Raw genomic sequence first — 26,870 nt, forward strand, 5'->3', positions numbered from 1 at the left:
TTGGCATTAAAATCACAAAAAGTCTTAAATACTTATTTTTAATACCTCCCTATCTCTTTACCATCTGCCTCTCCCCACCTACTACTTTCTGGGAAACCACTGCAAATGATTTACTTTGTGTCCTTTTTGAAGTTTTTTCTGTACATTTACGAGTGTGTGCCTGTATTTGGCCGGATGTGTGATTATTAGACAATAATTAGATCACCACATATGATTATTAGACAATGTTTCTGCCTATTTAGACTATTGGTATCACCAGATACAAGTCTGCCTAGCTACAATGTGATAATGCCTTTTGATAGGTCCTAGGAAATATTCAGCACAGGAAGTAAAACAAAAACTTCCCCTTAAACACATAGAATTGCATTGGTATATTCCTTCAGAGGCAGGTTTAATCCAATCCTCTGAAGTGGAGGTCTGGGTGTATTTCCAGCATCAAGTTCTACTGTTACCTGAAATATTTTAGATGATTGAGGCAAGGGTTCTTGTTTTTTCAGTCATGATATTAACTGAATCATGTTTGCATTCTACTTTCCTACCCTGATATTCCTACTGTAATATTAACTGCTCTAATATTTCCTCCTCTAATATTAATCTAATAGTCCCAGGCACTGTGGTTTATATGAAAACTTGTTGAGTCTATTGGATGGAGAGAAATCTGGGTGCTTGAAGTAGATTACAGGCTGAAAGAACCTAAGATTCTACCATAGTTAGACAAGCCAAGAAGTCAATAAGCCCAAGGAAGCATAACTTTAAGTTCCGTAACTTCATCCTTAATTTTTCCTGATTTGCTGAGGTATCTCCATTCATCCTTGCTCACCTACTAATACCTAGAGGATCCCTGCAGCCACCTAGAGCTGAGCCCATCTTCATAATTCTCTCTTGTGGCATCAGACTCTTGTCTGTGATTTCATTTTATGAATACGAATAAAGAACAAGGCTGGAAGAGAAAGATTTAATAGCATATTTTGCTGAAAATGTGAGCAATTAAAATGGGCTGACCCGAATGTCAAAGATTTAGAATGTGGATTGCTGTGGAGAGAAGTTCTACCTAATAAGTGCAGTTGACAAAATGAGGAATTTTTTTAGGACAAAGGGTAAGTTTAGGAAAAACAACATCTGTTGTGAGTATCTGAAAATAATGAGCAAAGGAAGAGAGAAAAGGACAAATCTACATCAAGTCCTACTAAACCGAGATGTGCATCTGACCCGTGCATGTGGGGAAATCAATAAAATTAGAGCAAAGTCATTTCTCAATTTTCATAGATGAGTGTATTCTTTCAAAAATTATTAGGTCCTGTAAGAAAATCAATTTTCTGCATTTTTCTACAGGAAATTATACTTGATTCAATGTAAAAAGGAAACTACAGGAAGAAAATGAATATGACAGTATTGAGATCATGTGAGAAAAAGAGAAGGAAATGCGTGTGTGGGGTGTGTGTGTGAGAGAGAGAGAGAGAGAGATAAATAGCACACAGGAGTAGTAGGAGGGGCAGAATGAAGGGCATAGACCCTTATCATATCATAAAATAAAGAATTTTTAAAGAACAAATCCATGTCACAGAGAAACTGTGAAAGGTAATATTGGAAAAATATCCTATGTGCTTACTTAGTTAGAATCTACTATAATGGTTTAGTACTTAAACTGTTTATTTTTCCACACCTGTAAAGATGATACATTATGTTTGGTTTAATGATTCTGGGTGAAGTACAGCTGCCCTGTGCAAACACTTGGCATTTTATGCATCACCAACCCCAGGGGCAAGTCACACCTTTCTGCCCTTAAATCCTTGCAGGGGCAGCCAAGCCTGGAGCCTTCCCCAAGAGAGTTGAAGGTGGAGGTGGCTCGTACTTAGGATAAGATTCATAGAGTCCAAGAAGGAGCAAATGCGATCCCCTCTGTGCAGGTTGATTCCCTTCTCCCCGTTTTGGGTGTTTTCCCACATAGCATTTCTGGTTAAAGCCCTTTAGATTCAACTTAGATTAAAAATGGAACAACATGAGACACCCTCCCAGGGCTCATTCATCTCCTGCCCTGATAGGCTTGTTGGATTTTAGAAAAATACTACAAACATGACAAATAGTTCTGTAGTATAAGTGTTTCTCATGCAATATTTGGGATATACCTATCCAGCAGAATTATTCACTCTTTACCTGAAATTGAAATTTAACTGGACGACCTGGATTTTATTTGGCAACTCTATTGCTTGAGCTCTGGGAGCCTCCAGAGTATCTGAGAAGTGTCTTAGGAGGGCAGACCCCATGTGTGTTTGGAGTGAAGAGCATGGGACAGGCGCTGATGCAGGAAGTGTAAGTAAAATGACAAAAACACGCAAATCTGACAGGTGAGAAGAGAAAAACCATTCCAAGTCTCTTGCTACTTTATCTGCAACACCGTTTCCTGAGGCGGAAGGAGTGAGCCACCAGCCCTTTCCTTCCCGACTGTTCTCCTGAGAGCACCCCTTGTGACTTCTGGGCCAGGATCTGCATTTTACATATTTAAGGAGCGATTTCAGCTGGCAGGCAATGAGTTCATCATACAGAAGAATGGACCAGACACTGGGAACGGGTTGTGTGTTGGGTGGGGGTGGTGAAAATGGGACACACCAAAAGACATAGTGATAAGCTACAGGGACAGGGCAGACCTTCCAAATCACACTTACTGCATGAATGCAAACACATACAAACATGCTCATGGTTGATTTTTCAAAAATATATATATTTTTCTCTTCATAAATAACTCTCATTTAATTTATTAACCTGTGGTTGTTCTTGGAGAATTTCCTAGTGAGCAAGAATATACGGACATCTACCATCTCTGGTCTGGAGGTAGCCAGCCAGGGTCTGAGCTGCTGGGCTCCCTGCTGAGCTGCTTGGCCAACGCAAGGTCTGGAAGCATCTCTTCTCCTAACACTGAGATTTCAGTCTGCGGTGGTCAAGAATGAACTCCTCTTGTTTAACCCATATATTTATTTTAAATAAAATTATCACCTCAATTCCATATATCTAGTTAGAAGGATTTTAACTTGGATTTGAGGACCTTTAAACTCTTAAGCCTGCGGAAGTTCTAGACTGAATGATAATTACTGACATTTGATGCACCTAGCACTAAAATGGAGTGATACAATATTCTGACACAGGCTTTTCTTTCCAATTTATTCATCATTATTTATCTTGACTCTAAGTTTGATGATCTTCTTGTAGAATACTCTATATTGAAGTTATGCTGAGTTCAATCATAAAGTTAAGCCTAGTTAGACAGTGGGATTTTCTTTTTGGAACGCAAATGTTATATATATATATATATATATATATATACATGTTTCATATGCACGCATTGTCATATATAGCCCACGGTATATATATGTTTCATATGCACACATTGTCATATATAGCCCACGGCTATATTATTATGCAGGTTCCAGTGTCACAGAAACTCGTTAAGCTTTTCTGTGTCTCCGTGCCTAAAATCTACTGACAAAAATACAGTTTAACCACACACACACTTAAATACAGTTTAGTGGGAAAAGGAGGTGCTATTTATACAGGATAGATCGAAGTTTTAAAATAGTGAAATAAATCTGCTTTCTGTTAAAATAAAACTCATAAAATGTGCGACCAATATTACTGGGTCATCCGTTTCTTCTTATTTTCTCACAGTGATATTTCAGGTCTTTTGGGATAGTCACTTTGTGGCTATCTTGGAATAAAACAGTCATTTCAATTCTGTGATGGGTCATAAGCAGGGTGTCTGGTCATTTAGGGTCACAGCCCTAAAAGGCCGAGCCTAATTATTGGGAGTAGGAGCTGGCGGGGATCGGCTCCTAGGACCTGTGTGGGGATCTTGGAAGTCCCTCCCCTCTGGGCTGTGCTGTCCCTCCCTCATGGTGCCGTTGTTGCAGTTTCCCCTGTGGATGCCAGAGATAGAGATGGGAAAGAGGTGTGGGAGAGTGGCCAGAGGCGGGGATAGAGGCAGATAGGGAAGGAAAACCTTTGGTTTGTAGGACATGGGTGGTATCTTGTTCCTGGCAACTATGTGTGTTGACAGCAAGGGCACAGTCTTTGGGGACAGTCGTGCCATAGCCAGCACAGGGGCCAGGCTGGCTGAGGGCCCGCGCACTCACCCGTGCTGCTCTGGATGGTCCTAACGGTGGTGGTGGTGCGCGGCGGCGAGGACGACCTCAGGGACACGCACTCGTCGTCCTGGGAGCAGCCTTTCTCAATGGCCCGCACATAGCTGTGGCTCCGCATGCGGAAGCAGCCGGGCATGGGCAGGTCCAGCGCTTCCACGGCCTGCGACTCCAGCTCGCTGAACACGGACTCGCACACGGACTCGAACTGCCCGTTCACTTCCATCTCGCTCACCTGCGGGCAGACACAGGCGTTGTGACACTCGCCTCCACCTGGTGGAGGATCAACCTCTCCAAGCATCTGCGAACTTCAATCCCCAGAAGAAAAAGCAGCGTCTGGTTAGATTAAGCTCAAATGCATTTTATTTCCTTTCTGTTACAGGCTATAATTGAATGGCATCCGCTTATAATTCCAAACAATAGATTACTTTTTTTTTCTTGTATTTTTAGTAGAGACAGGGTTTCACCGTGTTGGCCAGGCTGGTCTCGAACTCCTGACCTCAAGTGATCCACCCGCCTGGGCCTCCCAAAGTGCTGGGATTACAGGCATGAGCTACCACCACCAGCCGTGATTACATTTTAAAGAAAAAAGGGCACCGTTTGTAGAACGCAAGGAAATGTGGGGCTTATTCCAACGCATGACATTCTTATTTATAAAGGCAAACTTGGAGAAGAATTTTACCAGTCCATTGTCAGAGTTCATGTATTTTGGTATCACTTTTTAGCACAAACATTTTAGAAACGAGTATTTTTACAGTGCCTTTTGAAGTGACTAGTTTGTCAAATAATTTCAGTGTTAAGCTTAATTTAGTGCAAGGTATGGAAACATGCCCTATATTTTCTGGCAAGATACTCACGTTTTGCACAAAAATAGACTAAACTCAGATATGTCAAAATCTTGAAAAGCACCATCAAGATTTTCAAACTATTTACAAGTTTCAGTCTTCTTTATAAAAAGCCCATATGGGCTGACTGTTGTGGCTCGCACCTATTACCCAGCACTTTGGGAGGCTGTGGCAGGAGGATCACTTCAGCCCAGGAGGTCGAGGCTGCAGTAAGGCCTGATTGCACCACTGCATTCCAGCCTGGGCAACAGAGAGAGATCTTGTCTCAACAAACAAACAACAACAACAAAAAACCTGATAAGATTCATAAATTATTAATGTATTTTAAAAAAATTTGCTACAGAAATATTTGGCGTAATTGGAAAAAAATCTTTGAAATGGGGGCCCTCTTTTTTTGACGAATAAGTTTTTATTGATTTATATTCCTCCTGTATATAACTTACATTAGGTTTGAGCCCCACTTAAGAAAAAATATTCCTGACTAGATGTTCCAGTCAACTTCTCACTTTTTAGTTGACTTGCTAGAGATTTGGGAGCATTTCTCAATTTTCTGTTACCTTCCAGGACATCTTATCTCTATTTTCCTAATATCAAATTCATGAGGCACCGAGAATTTAACAAATTAAACTACAATTACGTTTTGAATACTTACTGAAAACTATTACAATTTTTGGCTGTCTCCTCATTTTGTATTATCTGAAGTTGTGCTCCAGTAATGACTAATTTCTTTAAACTTCAGATAAAAGTGACCAATTACCTTAAGGCATATCAATAGAAAGAGACATACACTTTTTAATAAGAATTCTTTACAGTTTAAAAATGCTATTTTCACAGTCTTTATCTAATTTGTTATGTGAAATCCCTGCATATTTTCCAGGCTAATAACTATATGTGTCCATATTAGAAAGTTATATCTCTATATATCCTTGTTTTTAAAGAAATACATGGACACACATTTAGAGGTAAAGGAATGTATCTGCAACTATCAAATGGAGCAAGAGAGACAAAGAGTGAGCAAGTGAGCCAAAATCTCAACAATCCATACATTTCAATCTGGGTCAAGGATATACAGGAGTCTTTGTATTACATGTGTGACTCTTTTTTAAGGTTGCAATTATTTCAAAGCCAAAAATAAAGCAAATATATATGTGTGTATGTCTATATACATCTGCAAATGTATGGGTGTATATATAGACATATATATAATATATGTATATGTATATAATTTATTCATTTTTCCCCTTTTAATCAACATGCCAAACTTTACAAAGAGATAGCAAAATATTTCTGTCAAGGTAACAACCATTAAACTCGGATGATTATCTTTCCAGATAAGTATATATGTCCCCTCTTCTACTTTGTATAAAACTTGAATCATATAGTAAATATAATTCTGCAACTTGTTGGTTTTTTACTTAACCCTCTAGGTTAAACTTATATTCTTTTCTTTTTTTGAGATAGGTTCTTGCTCTGTCACCCAGGGTGGAGTGCAGTGGCACGAACAAGGCTTACTGTAGCCTCAAGCAATCCTCCCGACTCATTTTCCTGGATAGCTGGGACCACAGGTACGCACCACCACGCCTGGCTTTTTTTTTTTTTTTTGGAGAGACAGGGTTTCCCCATGTTTCCCAGGCTGGTCTCTCAAACTCCCGGTCTCAAACCATCCTCCCACCTCCACCTCCCAAAATGCTGGGATTACAGGTGTGAACTACGGCTCCTGGCTAAACTTATATTCTTAACAGAATTCTTCTTCATTCCCTTTTATCCTTTTATTTTCATTATACACAGATACAGAAAACCATACAAAATAAATATAGAACTTAATGAATTATAATAAGGCAAACATCCTGGAACCACTACCCAGATCAAGAAGCAAAACTTTTCTGGACACCCTAGAAGCCCTCCACATGCCCCCATATTCACAATCTCCACTCTCCCTCTAATAGTGCTTAACTAGTACCCTGAGTTTTATTGCGTTCACTTTTGTGCATTTCTTTATGTTTTATTTCACCCAAGCGTGCATCCCTGGGCTCTAGTTAGTCTTACCCATTTTAAAAATCTGATACACTTTAAAATTCACCTTTAACATACACTTATTTTGACTTATCTATTGAGCATCTAGATTGTTTGCCCCATAGAGGTTCCCATAGTCTGGGTTTTGCTGATTTCATACTCATGGTGGAGTTCATCATGTTCCTCTGCATTTTGTATTGCCTGAAAATTGGAATCCAGATTCAGAGATTTGATCAGCTTCAGGTTCAATCTTTTTGGCAAGGCTAGAGGCCATGTGTTTATTTCATCAGGAGGCACATTATGTCTAGTTTGTCTCTCTTCTATGTTGTTAGGAGTTATCTATGCTCAATGTCTAGATTTGTTAATCCTTGGGAGCTGCAAAATGCAATATTCTATAATTACTTTTATAACTACTAGTTGGAATATTCTCTTTCACATTACTTGTTTACTTAATGATTTAGTTCATATAGAATGGTAGGATAAATGCTTGATTTGTCTTCTTTATTTACTAATTTTCAAGATAAATTTGTTCTCTCTTATATTCCATATGTAATCGATTTTTAAAAAATATCACATTAACTCATAGATTTAAAAATATTTGATGGTTTTAAGTCAATTGAAATAATTATCCTTAATGAACTTAAATTTGTCCCATCTTTGGTCAGTGGGAGCCTTTTAGGTTGGTTTGGGGGTCTTTTTGACATGAAAGTAGTAATCTTTGAGAACTTCTTTGATATCTGGTATGACAAGGTATTCTAAACTCAACTTAAACCTTTCCTGCCCAGTCCTGGAATCAGTATGTTTCCAAAAAGCCCTTTCTTTTTTTAGTGGGAAATGGTATTACAAGAACACAATCTGGGTACTAGGGAGATATATTGTCATTGCTACTGGGTTAATCATTGTTCTTAGGCCTTTTCAGTGAGAAGAACTAGGATATAAATACTATAGGGTTCTTATGTAACCTCTTCTATATATGTTTATTCTTAGATCTTTATTCCATACTAAGAATCTTGGTTCTCAAGGACATGGGAGATGATGGAATTGGAATATTCTATAACTATCCATTTGCTTTAACCCATAGTATATGCACAGAAAACATTATCAGTACTACCCCTGCCCACATATGATTAAAGAGCAAACAATTTTATTTTACATGTGGTCCCTCTATTCTTTTCTCATTTTTACATAGTTGTGCTATATTTACATTGTCAGAGCAAATAAACGTATTATGCTCCCCAACCAGTGAACGCTCATTTAGTCTTAGTTCTACAAATAATTGTGTTTAATGTTTGCCGCTACAGGTGGTCCATGACTTATGATTTTTCTGCTTTATGATGATACAAGATTGATATGCATTCAGTAGAAACTGTACTTTGAATTTTGAGTTTAGATCTTTTTCTGGGCTATTGATATGTGGTATAGTATTCTCTCGAGATTCTGGGTAGGTGCTCAGCCATGCAATTACAAGGGTAAACAACTGATACTCCAAAGTGTACTGTGTTGCCAGTGTTTTTTGGATATTGTGGGGTTTTTTTGTTTTGTTTTCACATCCCACCATGTTTACAAAATGCCCATTTTTGACTTAAGGTATTTTCAACTCACAATGGGTCTATCAGGGATGTAATCCCGTTGTAAGTAGAGGAGCATCTGTAGTTCTTATGTCTGGTCATTTTGGTTGTTTAGAGCTCATTGTCTAGTACATTTCTCAGAATGTGTTCATGGAATCAATATTTCCTGCGTTCATCCATGCTTATAACAGTTTGTATGTTTTATACTTGAAAGTCAGTTTTTCTGGATATAAAAATCTGACTCACATGTTTTTCCTTGAGTGTATTAAAATGCTACACACATCATTTTCTTCCAGCATAAACCATTCCTGTTAAAGGGTCCAATGATAACTCAGTTTTCATTTTGTTAAGTAAGTTGTTCTTTCTGTCCAGAAATCCAAAGTGTTTTTAAAGAAATTCTTTAAAGTCTTGTAATTTTACAAGAATATGTCCTGATGTTGATTGTTCAGGGTCAATTTCTCAGGTACATGGTGTGTTTACATGGTGTGTTCTTCCAATATGTAGCTTCAAATCAACTTTTTATTTCAGGAGAGTTTAAAAAAATCATTGTTTTTCTTACTTGTTCTGTTCCTTTGATTTTCTTCTGAAGGGACTTCTATTATCTGTATGTCTAATCTTTTTTGTCTGTTTTTGATATTTGTCAATTTCTCTTTTTAACTCTTCATTTGTGTTCTCTCTCTCTCTTTCTCTCTCTCTCTCTCTAAGAGATAGGGTCTAGCTCTGTTGCCCAGGCTGGAGTGCAGTGGTGTCATCATAGCTCACTGCAGCCTCAACCTCCTGGGCTCAAGCTATCCTCTGGCCTCAGCCTCCTGAGTAGCTGGAACAACAGGCACGAGCTACTGCACTCAGCCCCATTTCTTTTTGATTTTAAAATTTTCCTTCCTTTCTAGTTCCTTTTTTTTTAGTGTATTTTTACCTTTTTGTAGATTTTACTAACCTACTTTCTAAAACATAGCAGTTTACAGTCCAAACAGCAAGTAATACAGAGTTCATTTCTCAACATGGTCACCAGAATAGAATGTTAGCTCAGTTTTTGCTGCTCTATGTCAAGAATGATACTGTGCTGTTTTGATTTACATCCTACAAATGTGAATAGGCACCTGTCACTTTATTTACTGGCTTTTGACTTATTTACTGGCTTTTGTATTTTTTTCTCTGATTATTTTTATTTATAAGCTTTGACCAAGATTCTTTTGGGTTATCTTTTCTTACTAATTTGTAGAAATACTTTAAGCAACTATAACATTTACCCTTTTTGTTAATGTGTGTCAATATTCCTCCCACCAATTGTATTTTAACTTTATCATATATTTTGCCACACAGAAATATTTAATTTTATTTAGAATAGATCTTTTACTTTATATTTTCTAGAATTTGTATTTTATTACAAGTAATAATTCTGACCACAATACTATCTATATATTCTCCTAACATTTATTTTAATGCATTTTGTTACTTTGTGTTATTGCTTAGATTTTAAATTTACTTAGATGTAGTTTTTACATGGGATGAAGAAGAATTTTAGTGTTCCTTCAATTATATAGTGGACAATTTGCTTGAATTCTCTGAGCTTCACTTTCCTCATCTGTAAAATAAGTATAATAATACTTATCTCATAGGAGTACTTTAAGGATAAAAATAAAATAATGTCAAAATGCGTATTTTTTTTGGAGACGGAGTCTCACTCTTGTCACCCAGGCTGGAGTGCAGTGGCACGATCTTGGCTCACTGCAACCTCTGCCTCCCAGATTCAAGCGATTCTTCTGCCTCAGCCTCCTGAGTAGCTGGAACTAGAGGCGTGTGACACCACGCCTGGCTAACTTTTTTTTTGTATTTTTAGTAGAGAAGGGGTTTCACCATATTGGCCAGGCTGATCTGGAACTCCTGACCTCATGATCCATCCAACTGAGGCTCCCAAAATACTAAGATTACAGGCGTGAGCCACCGTGCTTGGCCCAAAATTCATATTATATGTCTAGGTATATGGTACACACTCCATAAAAGGTGGATATTATTTTTTGTGATAGTGTAGTGGGAAAATAGTAGTAGGAAACAAATATGTTAGTCCAACTCTCTGAGACTGAGATTCATAAATTAAAAAATGATCTTTCTTACAGGACAGATGTGAAATTAATTAGATAATAAGCAAGGCTACTAGCATGTATCAGGTAATCATAAAACGGTAACTAATTATTCCATTGTTATTCTTTCTACTGTTAATACTACTATTACTAGCAATATTATTGCCACCAATACCAGCAGGTATTGAAGTCATTTACCAGTTAAGAGTCAGGACACTTGGGTTTCCTAGCCTCTGTCACTGACTGGCTGGGTACCCACAGACAATTAATTTATCTAGGTTTCCATTTCATTCTCTTTCTCTCTACACACACACACACACGCAAGCACACACCATGCCACATGCACACACACACACATAATGAGGGGATGGCCTAAGTCAAAGTCACGGCTGAGCTGCTGGTATTAAAACAGCTGCCTAGTTACATTAATTTTAGAAAAGGATGTAGAAACCCAACATGTTGCCAGAGAAAATATGTCTGCGGGCTTCTAGTTTGCCATTCCAGATGAAAATACCTAGGATTTGGACTTGAAATAAATAAAGACATAAATTAACTTGGAAATGACAGTGACTACATGACATATTTTTAAAATATTGGACTTTCTATAAATACAATTCTTTCTTCTCAAGCCCTACTTTAAAAGCCCTCATTTTAAATTAGATGTACCTATGGTAAAAATATAAAATAATAAACATAAAAACATACTTAATTTTTTTCCTTATCATCCAAGCACAATCTGTTTTTAGGGCTCTTTTACTGCTGTGAGTAATAAATGACAGAAGCAATTTAGTTTTTCTAGACCAACTCCTTGGTGTACTCAACTTTCTAGGAGCCTTTGATGAATAATGTGTCAGGTTTTAAAGGGAAATAAGATATAATGCACTTAAATTCTATAGTATTATAGCTTCTACTAATGATCTATTTGAGAAAATAGCTCTAACATCTTAAAAGCCAACCTCTTTTTGAAAAGTCTAGGGTATATACAGTAGCATTGCTTTGAAGAGGAAACTATTCTCCTTTGAATAATGACAATGTTGCAACTACAACAGGACGTTTGAAATTATCCTTAAAGATACTGTGTTACCATTCAAAAGCTAGCAGAAGGCAAGAAATAACTAAAATCAGAGCAGAACTGAAGGAAATAGAGACACAAAAAACCCTTCAAAAAATTAATGAATCCAGGAGCTGGTTTTTTGAAAGGATCAACAAAATAGATAGACCGCTAGCAAGACTAATAAAGAAAAAAAGAGAGAAGAATCAAATAGATGCAATAAAAAATGATAAAGGGGATATCACCACCGATCCCACAGAAATACAAACTACCATCAGAGAATACTACAAACACCTCTACGCAAATAAACTAGAAAATCTAGAAGAAATGGATAAATTCCTCGACACATACACTCTCCCAAGACTAAACCAGGAAGAAGTTGAATCTCTGAATAGACCAATAACAGGATCTGAAATTGTGGCAATAATCAATAGCTTACCAACCAAAAAGAGTCCAGGACCAGATGGATTCACAGCCGAATTCTACCAGAGGTACAAGGAGGAACTGGTACCATTCCTTCTGAAACTATTCCAATCACTAGAAAAAGAGGGAATCCTCCCTAACTCATTTGATGAGGCCAGCATCATTCTGATACCAAAGCCTGGCAGAGAGACACAACCAAAAAAGAGAATTTTAGACCAATATCCTTGATGAACATTGATGCAAAAATCCTCAATAAAATACTGGCAAAACGAATCCAGCAGCACATCAAAAAGCTTATCCACCATGATCAAGTGGGCTTCATCCCTGGGATGCAAGGCTGGTTCAATATACGCAAATCAATAAATGTAATCCAGCATATAAACAGAGCCAAAGACAAAAACCACATGATTATCTCAATAGATGCAGAAAAGGCCTTTGACAAAATTCAACAAGCCTTCATGCTAAAAACTCTCAATAAATTAGGTATTGATGGGATGTATTTCAAAATAATAAGAGCTATCTATGACAAACCCACAGCCAATATCATACTGAATGGGCAAAAACTGGAAGCATTCCCTTTGAAAACTGGCACAAGACAGGGATGCCCTCTCTCACCACTCCTATTCAACATAGTGTTGGAAGTTCTGGCCAGGGCAATTAGGCAGGAGAAGGAAATAAAGGGTATTCAATTAGGAAAAGAGGAAGTCAAATTGTCCCTCTTTGCAGACGACATGATTGTATATCTAGAAAACCCCATTGTCTCAGCCCAAAATCTCCTTAAGCTGATAAGCAACTTCAGCAAAGTCTCAGGATACAAAATCAATGTACAAAAATCACAAGCATTGTTATACACCAACAACAGACAAACAGAGAGCCAAATCATGAGTGAACTCCCATTCACAATTGCTTCAAAGAGAATAAAATACCTACGAATCCAACTTACAAGGGATGTGAAGGACCTCTTCAAGAAGAACTACAAACCACTGCTCAATGAAATAAAAGAGGATACAAACAAATGGAAGAACATTCCATGCTCATGGGTAGGAAGAATCAATATCGTGAAAATGGCCATACTGCCCAAGGTAATTTACAGATTCAATGCCATCCCCATCAAGCTACCAGTGACTTTCTTCACAGAATTGGAAAAAACTACTTTAAAGTTCATATGGAACAAAAAAAGAGCCCGCATCGCCAAGTCAATCCTAAGCCAAAAGAACAAAGCTGGAGGCATCACACTATCTGACTTCAAACTATACTACAAGGCTACAGTAACCAAAACAGCATGGTACTGGTACCAAAACAGAGATATAGATCAATGGAACAGAACAGAGCCCTCAGAAATAACGCCACATATCTACAACTATCTGATCTTTGACAAACCTGAGAAAAACAAGCAATGGGGAAAGGATTCCCTATTTAATAAATGGTGCTTGGAAAACTGGCTAGCCATATGTAGAAAGCTGAAACTGGATCCCTTCCTTACACCTTATACAAAAATTAATTCAAGATGAATTAAAGACTTAAACGTTAGACCTAAAACCATAAAAACCCTAGAAGAAAACCTAGGCAATACCATTCAGGACATAGGCATGGGCAAGGACTTCATGTCTAAAACACCAAAAGCAATGGCAACAAAAGACAAAATTGACAAATGGGATCTAATTAAACTAAAGAGCTTCTGTACAGCAAAAGAAACTACCATCAGAGTGAACAGGCAACCTACAAAATGGGAGAAAATTTTTGCAACCTACTCATCTGACAAAGGGCTAATATCCAGAATCTACAATGAACTCAAACAAATTTACAAGAAAAAAACAAACAACCCCATCAAAAAGTGGGCGAAGGACATGAACAGACACTTCTCAAAAGAAGACATTTATGCAGTCAAAAAACACATGAAAAAATGCTCATCATCACTGGCCATCAGAGAAATGCAAATCAAAACCACAATGAGATACCATCTCACACCAGTTAGAATGGCAATCATTAAAAAGTCAGGAAACAACAGGTGCTGGAGAGGATGTGGAGAAATAGGAACACTTTTACACTGTTGGTGGGACTGTAAACTAGTTCAACCATTGTGGAAGTCAGTGTGGCGATTCCTCAGGGATCTAGAACCAGAAATACCATTTGACCCAGCCATCCAATTACTGGGTATATACCCAAAGGACTATAAATCATGCTGCTATAAAGACACATGCACACGTATGTTTATTGTGGCACTATTCACAATAGCAAAGACTTGGAACCAACCCAAATGTCCAACAATGATAGACTGGATTAAGAAAATGTGGCACATATACACCATGGAATACTATGCAGCCATAAAAAATGATGAGTTCATGTCCTTTGTAGGGACATGGATGAAATTGAAAATCATCATTCTCAGTAAACTATCGCAAGAACAAAAAACCAAACACCGCATATTCTCACTCATAGGTGGGAATTGAACAATGAGATCACATGGACACAGGAAGGGGAACATCACACTCTGGGGACTGTTGTGGGGTCGGGGGAGGGGGGAGGGATACCATTGGGAGATATACCTAATGCAAGATGACAAGTTAGTGGGTGCAGCGCACCAGTGCGGCACATGTATACATATGTAACTAACCTGCACAATGTGCACATGTACCCTAAAACTTAAAGTATAAAAATAAAAGAAAAAAAAAGATACTGTGTTACTTGAAAATTGAATATGGAACTAGAAAAATGATGTCATTAGGAATCCATTTCAGCTGGCCATTCTTTCTGTATTTTACCTAAGGCCGAATGGCTACGTCATGGAATTGCAGTGCTTGACCTGACAGCATTACTTCTCCCATGTGTCTGTGCAATGATTTGTTGGTATCTTACTAAGCTATCATTAGAAAGTGATGTTGCCCTAAAGAAGGTCAAATGTGCAGCCAGGGACTAAAAACAGTGAGCTGCAAGGGTAGTGTGCTGCTGGGGGAAATTAAAAGTTCTCCATAAAGTTATGAAAACCATGAATGTATATAAATATTTTTCCAACAGAATATTTTAAATCCACTGATGTATTCTGCATGTATGACCCCTAGGTTTGTAGACCATTTTATAATTCTCAATGACTGTGTGACCTTTAGGCCATGCAGAATAAATATGTGCTCCAAAAAGTTTTAAATGTTATATTACCTATTGTGAAAAAGATAAAAACAAAACAAGTCCAAAATGCACCAAAATGAGGCTCCAGCTATTTCCCTGAGAATTGGGATAATGTATATCATTGGACAAGCAGTAACCAGCACGAATAGGTTTGCATGTTCTTGGAGATTTCTGTAAAGCAAGGAAACACACGATGGGTCAGCACTGAAATCCCACATGACAGCTTTCCCTGGCTCCCTCCCTACTCTGCCCTTGGAGCCTGCCCTGCAGTTCCTGATTTTTTTCTTCAGGACTCCATTTAGAGCAGGGAGCTTAATTTTGTTGATAGGGACAGAATGAGAGCAGTGTCCCTATTTCAGGGTCTTATTTTGACAGATGTTTCAGTGATCAGCCTACCATTTCATAATTTTTTCTGAATACCTTGTTTTCATCTATACCAGCACCACACCATAGCATCACTATCACCACTGTCACTGCTACCACCATCACAATCACGACCACCACCACCACCACTGTCACCATCACTATCACCACAATCACAACCACCATCATAACCACCACCGCCACCACTGTCACCATTGCTATTACCATAATCATCACCACCACCATCACGACCACCACCGCCACCACCGTCACCATCACAACCACCACTGCCACCCATTACCAACACCACCACCACCATGGTCATCACCACCACTGCCACCACTGTCACCACCACCACCACCATCACATCACCACCACCACCACCATCACCTCACCACCACCACCACCATCACCACCACCACCACCACCATCACCTCACCACCACCACCATCACCACCACCACCACCACCACCATCACCATCACCACCACCACCATCACCATCACCACCACCATCACCACCACCACCACATCACCATCACCATCACCACCACCATCACCACCACATCACCACCACCACCACCACCACCACCAAATCACCACCACCACCACCACATCACCATCACCACCACCACCATCACCATCACCACCACAATCACCACCACCACATCACCATCACCACCACCACCACCACCACATCACATCACCACCACCACCACCACCATCACCACCACCACCACCACCACCACCACATCACCATCACCACCACCATCACCATCATCACAATCACCACTGCCATTACTATTACCATCACTGTCACCACCATCACCATCATCACTGCCACTACCATCACCATTACCATCACCATTACTATCACTACCACTACCACTGCCATCACCATAATTACCACCACCATCACTACCAACACCATCACCAACATCACCACCATCACCATCACTATCATCACTGCTACCACCATCACCATCACCACCATCGCCATCATCACCATCACTGCCATCATTATCACCAACACACCAACATCACCACTATGGTCACCATCACCATCAGTAACATTAATTCTCACCTTGATGATCACAGTGTCTTCCAAACTAGCCTCTCTGCTTCTAGCTTCTCATTCTCTCCAATCTTTCCTATGTTTTTTTGCCAGATTAGTTATCCTATGTCAAAGTTAGATTCATATCCCTTGCTTGTTTAAAAGCCGAAGTTTTCTTTTTCTTTTTCTTTTTTTTTAACAGAGAAAGAGTCTTGCTATGTCGCCCAGGCTGGAGTGCAGTGACGTGATCTCGGTTCACTGCAACCTCTGCCTCCCAGTTTCAAGTGATTCTCTTGCCTCAGCCTCCAGAGTAGCTGGGATCACAGATGGGTGCCACCATGCCAGGCTTACATTTGTATTTTTGATAGATACAGGGTTTCACCATGTTGGCCAGGCTGATCTTGAACTCCTGATCTCTAGTGAATTTCCAAGGACCCTCTTCATTGTGCTTTATCCACTTACAGAGGGCCCCACCTCCTGGCAGACCATTGATACCGGGGGCTTACTGCGGCTGAACCCATGGCATGCTCTTTGCAGCACTTGACTGGACCTCCTGTCTGATCCATCAATGGTCTACTGGATGAATGACTGCCTCCCCACCTCATGCCCTCTCAATTCTCACTAACCTTCCTGCCACTAATGGCTCCTGACCACCGCTGCCCTGACGGCCCTCACCTGGCTGATGGTGCTCATGGCTCGCATGTAGCTCTCATTCCTGGAGCGGAACTTTGGTGATGTGAGCAAGCCTGCAGGGTCCAGGCTGTCCAGGCTCCGGTTGATGGAGACTTCACTCACTGCCCTCAGGTAACTATGACTCCGGATCTGGAGTTTGGGTGAGTGTTCATTGGAGATTCTGGAAGGGAACAATGGAAGAGGTGCATTAGTCACATTCCAAAATGCAGGAAGCAATAACATGTGGCACTATTGTCATTTATGTAGCACCCTAAATACTGGGACAAATGACATAGATGCCCTTCTGTGATTACTAAACTCCCCCACAGTGTCTCAGAAGGAAGAGCTTTTGACAGGAAATCATCAAGATCTGATGACATTCGAGAGCAATTAACATTCTCTTCAACCATGAACTAATTGCCTCATTCACATTTTTCTAGCCATCCTAGGAAGCAGATAATAAGCAGCAATTGTCCTGCCCAGGAATTCTGACTTGTGTAATTTGTAAAGCTTTTCTTTGTATCTATTTCTTTCCTGTGGCCATCTTTTTGTTTTTGGACTGTTTGGTAACAGTAAGTGGGTATATATCTATATCTATATTTTTATCTATCAATTTATCTTCCTTCCTTCCTTCCTTCCTTCCTTCCTTCCTTCCTTCCTTCCATCTTTAACTCTCTAATATAGTTGAAATTGAACTTCGTGAACAGAACTTACACCTTAGCCATTAAAAAGGCACAACTCTCAATCTTTATATGTAAAGACAAGTCACTACACACTTTGTATTCTTTGGATTTATTCTAGGATGCATTGTAAAATTATAAAAGTAGAAAATGCTAATTGCAAATAGCCAAGCTATACAGATGTGCACAAAGTAGAAGGTGGGTCCCTCTGTCTCCCCTTGTTCCTGTCTGTAGAATTCCATACCCTTAAAAGAACTACTCATAGCAGTTTGGGGTATATTCTTCCTCAGTCCTTCTATTCATATATAATCAATTTAATGTTAGTTATTTTATTTAATTTTAATTTTTTTTTTATTTTTTTGAGACGGAGTCTTGCTGTGTCACCCAGGCTGGAGTGCAGTGGCGCAACTTTGGCTCACTGCAAACTCCACCTCCCGGGTTCATGCCATTCTCCTGCCTCAGCCTCCCGAGTAGCTGGGACTACAGGCACCTGCCACCACGCCTGGCTATTTTTTTGTATTTTTAGTAGAGACGGGGTTTCACAGTGTTATCCAGGATGGTCTCGATCTCCTGACCTCGTGATCCGCCCACCTCGGCCTCCCAAAGTGCTGTGATTACAGGCGTGAGCCACCGCGCCCGGCCTTTATTTTAATTTTTGAGACAGAGTCTTGCTCTGTCGTCCAGGCTGGAGTGCAGTGGCATGATCTTGGCTCACTGCAGCCTCCGCCTCCTAGGTTCAAGCAATTCTCATGCCTCAGCCCCTGAATAGCTGAGACAACAGGTACACACCACCATGCCTGGCTAATTTTTGTACTTTTTGTAGAGATGGGGTTTTGCTATGTTGGCCAGGCTGGTCTTGAACTCCTGGCCTCAAGTGACCTGCCTGCCTCGGCCTCCCAAAGTGTTGGGATTAAAGGCATGAGCCACTGTGCCCGGCCAATGTTAGTTATTTTTAAAGTTTCTTTTCACATGGTATTAGTGCGATTTTTCTTTCTTTATTAGATTTCTTTCATTTTGGCTGTAACATTGTTCCTAATTAAATAAATTAAAGTTGATAGGGAAAAAGATGTATGCCCCCATAGCCGCTATTATTTATCATCCTAGCCAGTGAAATCAGAAAATTTTGAAAAATAAGTAATATAAACATTGTAAAGAGATAAGATTTGAGTATTTATAGATTATGTAATCAATTATCTGTAAAGTAAGAGAAAATCATCTGAAAAACCATGAGAACTTTTAAGGGAAATCCTCAAGGTAGCTAGATACAAGGTAACAATACATAAATTAACAGCTTTTCCACGTAACATCAAATAAAATTTTAATGAAAAAAATTCCCTTTAAAATTGCAAAACATAAAATACACAGAAATTACAAAAAAGAAACGCATCAAATTTTATGAAGAAAATGATAAAATTTATGGAAGGCACTAAGTAAGTGCTAAATTAATGCAAAAAACCCCCACAACAATTTTCCTGTAAAAAAACTTAAATTTTCCCTAAATTTATCTATAAATTTAACGTAATTGCGACAAAAATCTCCATGTCAATTTTACCTTTTTTCTCTTTTTGAGATGGAGTCTCACTCTGTCGCCCAGGTGGAGTGTAGCTCACTGCAACCTTCACCTCCTGGGTTCAAGTGATTCTCCTGCCTTAGCCTCCCGAGTAGCCGGAATGACACACGCACGCCACCGCGGCCGGCTAATTTTTGTATTTTTAGTAGAGATGGGGTTTCACCATGTTGGCCCGGCTGGTCTCAGACTCCTGACCTCAAGTGATCTGCCCACCTTGGCCTCCCAAAGTGTTGGGATTACAGGCATAAGCCACTGCCCCATAAATCTCCATAGAAATTTTATTCAAATGTAACAAACTCATTTTAAAGTTTATATAAGATTCAGAGCAGCATTATTCATAACAGACAAAAGGTGGAAGCAACCCAAATGTCTAACTCTGAGTAGATGAAATGTGGTAAATGAACTATTTGACTAAAAAAAGGAATGAAGTATTGATACATGCTATAATATAGATGAACTTTGAGAACATCATGCTAACTGAAAGAAGCCTCATATTACAAAAGACCACATATTACATGATTCTACTTACATGAAATGTCCAGAATAGGCAAATCGCTAAAGATAGAAAGTAGGTGAGTGGTTGACTAGAGCTGGGCGGGGAAAGCATAGGAAGATGGTGGCATTAGGAAGTGATATCTGAAGGGTATGGAGTTTCTCTTTGCAGTGATAAAACAGTTCTAAAATTAGTTATAGTGTTGGTTGCACAACTCTGAATATATGAAAATCATTAAATTGTACACTTGAAAATGGTGAATTATATGTTATGTGTATTATATTTCCACAAAACCGTTGTAAAAAATTACGTGAGTCCTCAAAATAATCAGATTTCCTTACGGAGTTTAGAGGGTAGACTAAACTGGGCAATACTAGAGAAAGAAGGCCAGTTAAGGTGGTTGCAATGTTGCTATAATCTAAACAAGGGAAAAGGGCTCAGTTAAGTATTAGTGGTAGTAGAGAGGAAGAGATAGATTTGAGAATCCACACGAAAATTAAATGTGGTTGATGAGTAAGGAGGTCTAAAGGTTCTAAGAACAGCCAGAAAATAAAAATAAATAAAAAACAAGGGGAGGAATGCCCTTTATCTGATCTCAGCTATATTTTATTTTTTATTTTTATTTATTTTTTTGAGATGGAGTCTTGCTTTATTGCCCAGGCTGGAGTGCAGTAGTGCGATCTCAGCTCACTGCAATCTCTGCCTCCTGGGTTCAAGCGATTCTCCTGCTTCAGCCTCCAGAGCAGCTGGGATTACAGGAACATGCCATCAAGCCCAGCTAATTTTTGTATTTTTGTAGAGAAGGGGTTACACCATGTTGGCCAGGCTGGTCTTGAACTCCTGACCTCAAGGGATCTGCCCACCTTGGCCTCCCCAAGTGCTGGGATTACAGGAGTGTGCCACCATGCCCGGCCTCAGCTATACTTTATAGCTGCAATGATGAAAATGGGTCATGTTAGTAAAGGAACTGACAAAGCAGTAGAATGAAATAAGGACTCCAGAAACAGAACTAAGTATGTGTTTGAATATAATATATTGCAAACGTGGCAGTTGGAATAGGCAAGGAAAAGATCAAGTATTTAATAATGGAGTTAGACCTTTTTTGCCTCCACTTGGGGAAAAATGAATTCCTACTAAGCATATAGATGAAAAATAATATTTTAAAAACTTAAAGTTCTCCAATACAATATAGATTATATTTTATAATCTCAATTTCTATACTTAAACAATTTAAAGAGAAATTTATCAATGTTTTATGAATAAAAAAACCTATAAAGCCTTATGGAAGGCAATAAAGAAGGCCTAAAGAAATGCAAAGGAATATGGTAGAGAAAGACTTTAGAAGCATCGTGGTAAACTTAGATGCCATAAAGAGAAAGGTTAATGAATGGAAGTACATGAAAATTTAAAACTTTTGTTCAGCCAAAGATCCTGTCAACAATGTTAAGAAAAATAGTCATTGTGTATAAGAACATATTTGCAACACTAAGCAGCAAAAAGGGTTCACATGCATAATATTTAAATTATGAATAAAAATAATGAAACCAACACAATAAAAAATGGTCAAAGCCTATAAAGAGGGAATCATAAGAAAATAAATATATAAATTCACAGGAAAGTAACTTTATATATCACCAAGCATATGACAAAATGCTCGATCTCACTAGTAATTAGAGAAATGTGGATTTTAAAAAACATACATTTACACATTACATTCATGTACATCCATCTTGATGTCCTCAAATTGTAAAGATATTCCCTATATTCTAAGTGTCCTCTTAGTAGCATTGTGTACGATTGCATCTATTCTTAAAGCTTGTATGGAATTACTTAATATATAACAGCCAAAAACTATTCTTAATAATACTAAACCCTGAGAATGTGATAAGCAACCACTTTTTGCAGCTGCACTGAGGGAGAAACCAAATTAAGACAGATCTAGAATATAACATCGAAAGTAAATCTCTTATTGCATTTTACTGTTACAAAAGATAAACTAGGCTGGGTGCAGTGTGGCTCACACCTGTAATCCTAGCACTTTGGGAGGTCTACGTGGAAGGAACTCTTGAGCCCAGACCAGCCTGGGCTACATAGTGAGGCCCTGTCTGTATTTTTTAATATAAAAAAGTAAAAGAAAAAAATTGTTCTAGAAATGTGCCCTATGGATCCTTCAAGTAGTGGTCAAACATGAAAATAGTTTGCCAGGTCAAGGTAATATTTTCCATGTGTTACGTGCTATTATGGTGATTCCAGCTGCATCGCTTTATAATACCAATGCCAAAAATTTCAACCAACAAACAAACTGAAAAATTCGTTTTCCTTTTAAGATCTTTTTTAGAAAAAGAGAATCGTAGCTGGAAGCATTTATAACCTAAAGTTCACTTCTCTTTAGAACTTGCGCATTAGATGACAAATGTGTTTCTTTGACTATTTTGCAACCTGACCCAGAGCAATGATATTGCCAACATAAATGATGATGCCATTCCAAATGTTATCAGGGCAGTGACGGGAGTGGCTGTTTCATAAATGGTGTATATTCAAAGAAGAAGTGAAAGTCCGGCGTTTTGAAAAATGAGCGTCTGCTGGCTGAATGGGGAAATGAGGCATCATTGCAACAATCATTCACTCTGGCCACTCGTTATGAAATAAGGCACAATTCCCAAATTTCAAAGTGAAACATCATTCAGAAGGAATTGAATAGTTCTTCTCTGGTGAGTCATTCCTGATAAAACAATGCATACATTAATAACACACAAAATATAAGGAAATGAACTGTTTTATCTTGCCCACTTATAGAACAGAGCCCTCCGCTATCAATATAAAGGTTACTATATGCCCATGTGCTCCGGATGCAGAAACGCTCATTAAATAAACACCAAAATAGTGCATCGATGACTTTGTCTTTACCTCAAAAGAAAGTTGATCTGCTCAGAAGAAAGACAGTGTGCATATTCAGAAACATTAACTCTCTCATGTTACGTTAATTATTTCCAATGTTGGTCTAACGAAATGGCACTCTTCTTTTTCCATCCTTCTCCCTAAATTACTTATGCTAAGTTAACTTTTCCTAGCTTATCAGAACTAAAGGGAGATTTTGATTTTTTGGGCTGGGAGGTCCCATTCATTATCATGACTTTAAAGTACAACCAATAATGGGAAGTTCTTAGGTGACAGTGAGCCAACCACACAAACAAGCTTGACCCTTTGTATCCGGAAGGCTGCCATTGCGAAGAAGAGCGTGTACAGTAATCATCAGACCACAAAGTTTTAAACCAGTGTCTCAAAAGACAAAATGACTAACTTTGCAACATATTACTGGAAATAACTTCAGATGGCTGGGATGCTTTTTCCCCCAAAGAAGGAAATGCTTCCAGGTTATGGAGTCTAATGGGAGAATCTTTGGAGGTGATGGACCATCTTATGGAGCCATCTGCACCCTAAGTTTTGTTCATTTTCACGTTGTCTTCTCTCTGACTTACAAAAGTATTGGAATGTAAGGCTCTTCCATGGGACCCAGAGGAAACATTTTATGGCCTCAGGAGGTTAATCTAACTTCATTGTATTTCAAAAATGAACGTATTTGGCCTTGGTCATGACACTTTTATCAAATCATACTCATAAACATTAATGGCTTAAACTGAGAGGCTTTGATCCCTTGGGCTTTGGTGTGGACAATGGTACTTAGTAGGTGACAGTTCTCTGTTGAACTAGTTTCAGGGAATCAAACACAGGGCATTTTAGTAGTCAATCTGCTTTGGTAAAACGAAGCCTTTCTTTTCAGTAACCTTACCTATAATGGCTTTATAATCCGTATAGAAATGTAACTTTCATTAAAGTTGTTTACTTTTGTAGTTGCCTCTTGAGTTATTTCTACTTTATAATAATACCTGACATTTGTTACCATTTATCCAATGCCTGGCTACTGTTAGATAAAGAAATCATGACTTTGAGAGATCACATAGTGTTGAAGGTAATTCCAATGGAAACTTGGCCTTTTAACTTCCACATTCCTATTCTGTCTTCTCCTTCTCCTTCTCCTCCTCCTCCTCTTCCTCCTCCTCCTTCTTCTTCTTCTTTTTTTTTTTTTTTTTTTTTGACAGAGTCTCACTCTGTTGCCCAGGCTGGAGTGCAGTGGTGCAATCTCAGCTCACTGCAACCTCTGCTTCCTGGGTTAAAGTGATTCTCCGCCTCAGCCTCCCAAGTAGCTGGGATTACAGGCGGATGCCACCACACCCAGCTAATTTTTTTTGTATTTCTAGTAGAGAGGGGGGTTTCACCATTTTGGTCAGGCTGATCTTGAACTCATGACCTCAAGTGATCTGCCTGCCTTGGCCTCCCAAAGTGCTGGGATTACAGGGGTGAGCCACTGCGCCCGGCCAACATCTCCTTCTATTTCTTGGGGAATCCAGCCTGGATTCTCATTTGGGTTCCTCTTCCTCTAACTTGCCCTTACATGCTTTTATTCCCTAATACTTTATAATTGTTTATATTCTGTTTTTATTGTACATTCTGTTTATGGACAATCTCATCTCCTCAATGGCTTCTACTACCAACCTTATGCTAATCACTCCCAAATCTATTTGTAGTCTAGAGATCTCTTGAACTTCAAAACTGAAGTTTTAAGTAACTACTGTACATTTCTATCCAGATGTTCCACAAGTACCAAAAAATTGTCATGAACCCCAAATGAACACATACCTTTCTCCTCAAATTTTCTTATTTTTTTAATCCACATTGAGATGAATGGCACTGAAATCTACCCAGTCAACCAAACTAGAAATCCAGAAATTTATCCTGTCTCTTTTTCTTAACTGTCCAAATCCAGCTGATAATCATATTTTCTTGTTTCTACTTCCTATATACATTTAAATATGGTTTCTTCTCTCTCTTTCCTTGTTTCCAACTTTTTGGATTTGGGGTTACATGTGCAGGTTTGCTACATGAATATATTGTGTGTGATACTGAGGTTTTGGGGTATGAGTGATCTCATCACCCAGGTAGTGAGCACCACAGTACCCAACAGTTAGTCTTTCGACCCTTGTCCCCTCCCTCCATCCCCTCTCTAGTAGTCCCCAGAGTCTGTTGTTGCCATCTTCATGTCTGCGTGTACCCACTGTTTAGCTCCCATTTATAAGTGACAACATGTGGCATTTGGTTTTTGTTTCCTGCGTTAATTTGCTTCAGATGATGGCTTCCAGCTGCATCCATGTTGCTGTGAAGGACATGATTTCATTGTTATGGCTGTGTAGTATTCCATGGTGTGTATGCACCATATTTCTTTATCCAGCCCACTGCTGATAGGCACCTAGATTGATTCCATGTCTTTGCTATTGTGAACAGTGCTGCAATAAACATACACGTGCATGTGTCCTTTTGGTAGAAGGATTTATTTTCCTTTGGATATCTACCTGGTAGTGGGATTGCTGGGTCGAATGGTAGTTCCATATTCAGTTCTTGCCTCTCTCTCCTTCAGCACTTCTTGGTCTACTGCTTCCTCAGTCCAGGCTTCACCTTGGTTCTCCTAACCATGCTCCTATCATGAGTCCTGTATCCTTGAATGTATCTCTCTTGTCCTGCTAGTTACTTCGACACTCTCTTACGGAGGCTCCTTGGGTGAATCCTCTTAACCACAGGAGAAACTCTAAACTCTTTACCTGATTTTCCAGTCTCCTCGTTTGCTGTTTCCCCACGTGATCACGCATGCCCTCGCAAGTTTCATCTTTGCACACACTGTTTCTATGGCCTGGAATGCTCTCCTTCCTCTGCTTTCCACCCACCAAACTCTTCAACTCATTTTAGCAGGTCACTGGGTGTTAGAACCTCTATTTAGGTCATTTCCCTTCAGAAGGCCTCCTTTGTTCTTCCCAGACTAAAGTCCTCCATCTGTACCCCTATAGTGGCTTTTATACTTCTCTGTTACACACTTTTCCCATTGTTGTAATTATTAATATTTGGTTATACGTTTGTGTACTCTTCAGATTTCTGAGCTCTTAGAAGCAGAATCAATATTTCATTCATTTTGTTACACAGTGGTACACTGGCACTTAAATGTCTTACTTTAATTACCACTAATAACCCCTAACACTTGAGTGCTTCCTTTATGCCGGGCACTGTCTTTAAATCATCTCATGAAATGGATGAGTAAATAAATAAATGAAGAGGGTAACTCAGTTGATCATTATTCTAGACCTAAAATACTTTGCTGTAAAACATTTTTCATTTTCTTTCTTTTTTCTTTTTGAGTCAGGGTCTCACTCTGTTGCCCAGGCTGGAGTGCAATGGTGCTATCACAGCTCACTGAGGCCTCGAACTCCTGGGCTCAAGCAATCCTCTCATTTCAGTCTCCTGAGTAGCTGGGACCACAGGTGTGTGTCACTACACCTGGCTAATTAAAATTTTTTTTTGTAGAGATGGGGTATTGTTATGTTGCCCTGGCTGGTCTTGAACTCCTGGTCCCAAGTGATCCTCCTGTGACCCGACAAAATTTTTTTTTTTTTTTTTTGAGACGGAGTCTCACTCTGTCACCCAGGCTGGAGTGCAGTGGCACGATCTTGTGTCACTGCAACCTCTGCCTCCCGGGTTCGAGTGATTCTTCTGCCTCAGCCTCCCGAGTAGCTGGGACTAGAGGTGTGCGCGTGTGCCACCACACCTGGATAATTTTTGTATTTTTAGTAGAGACAGGGTTTCACCATATTGGCCAGGCTGGTCTCAAACTCCTGACCTCGTGATCTGCCTGCCTTGGCCTCCCAAAGTGCTGGGATTACAGGTGTGAGCCACTGTGCCCGGACTTCTTCTTCTTCTTCTTC

The 26,870-nt window shown here is 39.2% G+C and overlaps 1 protein-coding gene across 36 annotated transcripts in view; it reads right to left on the bottom strand.

Moving 5' to 3' along the window:
* DLGAP1 (DLG associated protein 1) overlaps positions 1–26,870 on the bottom strand; it is a 959,276-nt gene that overhangs the window by 228,979 nt on the left and 703,427 nt on the right. For all 36 annotated transcript variants that reach the window (NM_001398527.1, NM_001398526.1, NM_004746.4 and 33 more), the window contains 2 exons: positions 17,325–17,502; positions 4,125–4,365 (listed from right to left, as the gene is read on the bottom strand). In NM_001398527.1, the coding sequence (NP_001385456.1) occupies positions 4,125–4,365; positions 17,325–17,502 (419 nt within the window). The remainder of the gene's footprint in view (positions 1–4,124; positions 4,366–17,324; positions 17,503–26,870) is intronic.

This window comes from Homo sapiens, chromosome 18 (genome assembly GCF_000001405.40).
Source record: "Homo sapiens chromosome 18, GRCh38.p14 Primary Assembly".
Taxonomy (NCBI): domain Eukaryota; kingdom Metazoa; phylum Chordata; class Mammalia; order Primates; family Hominidae; genus Homo; species Homo sapiens.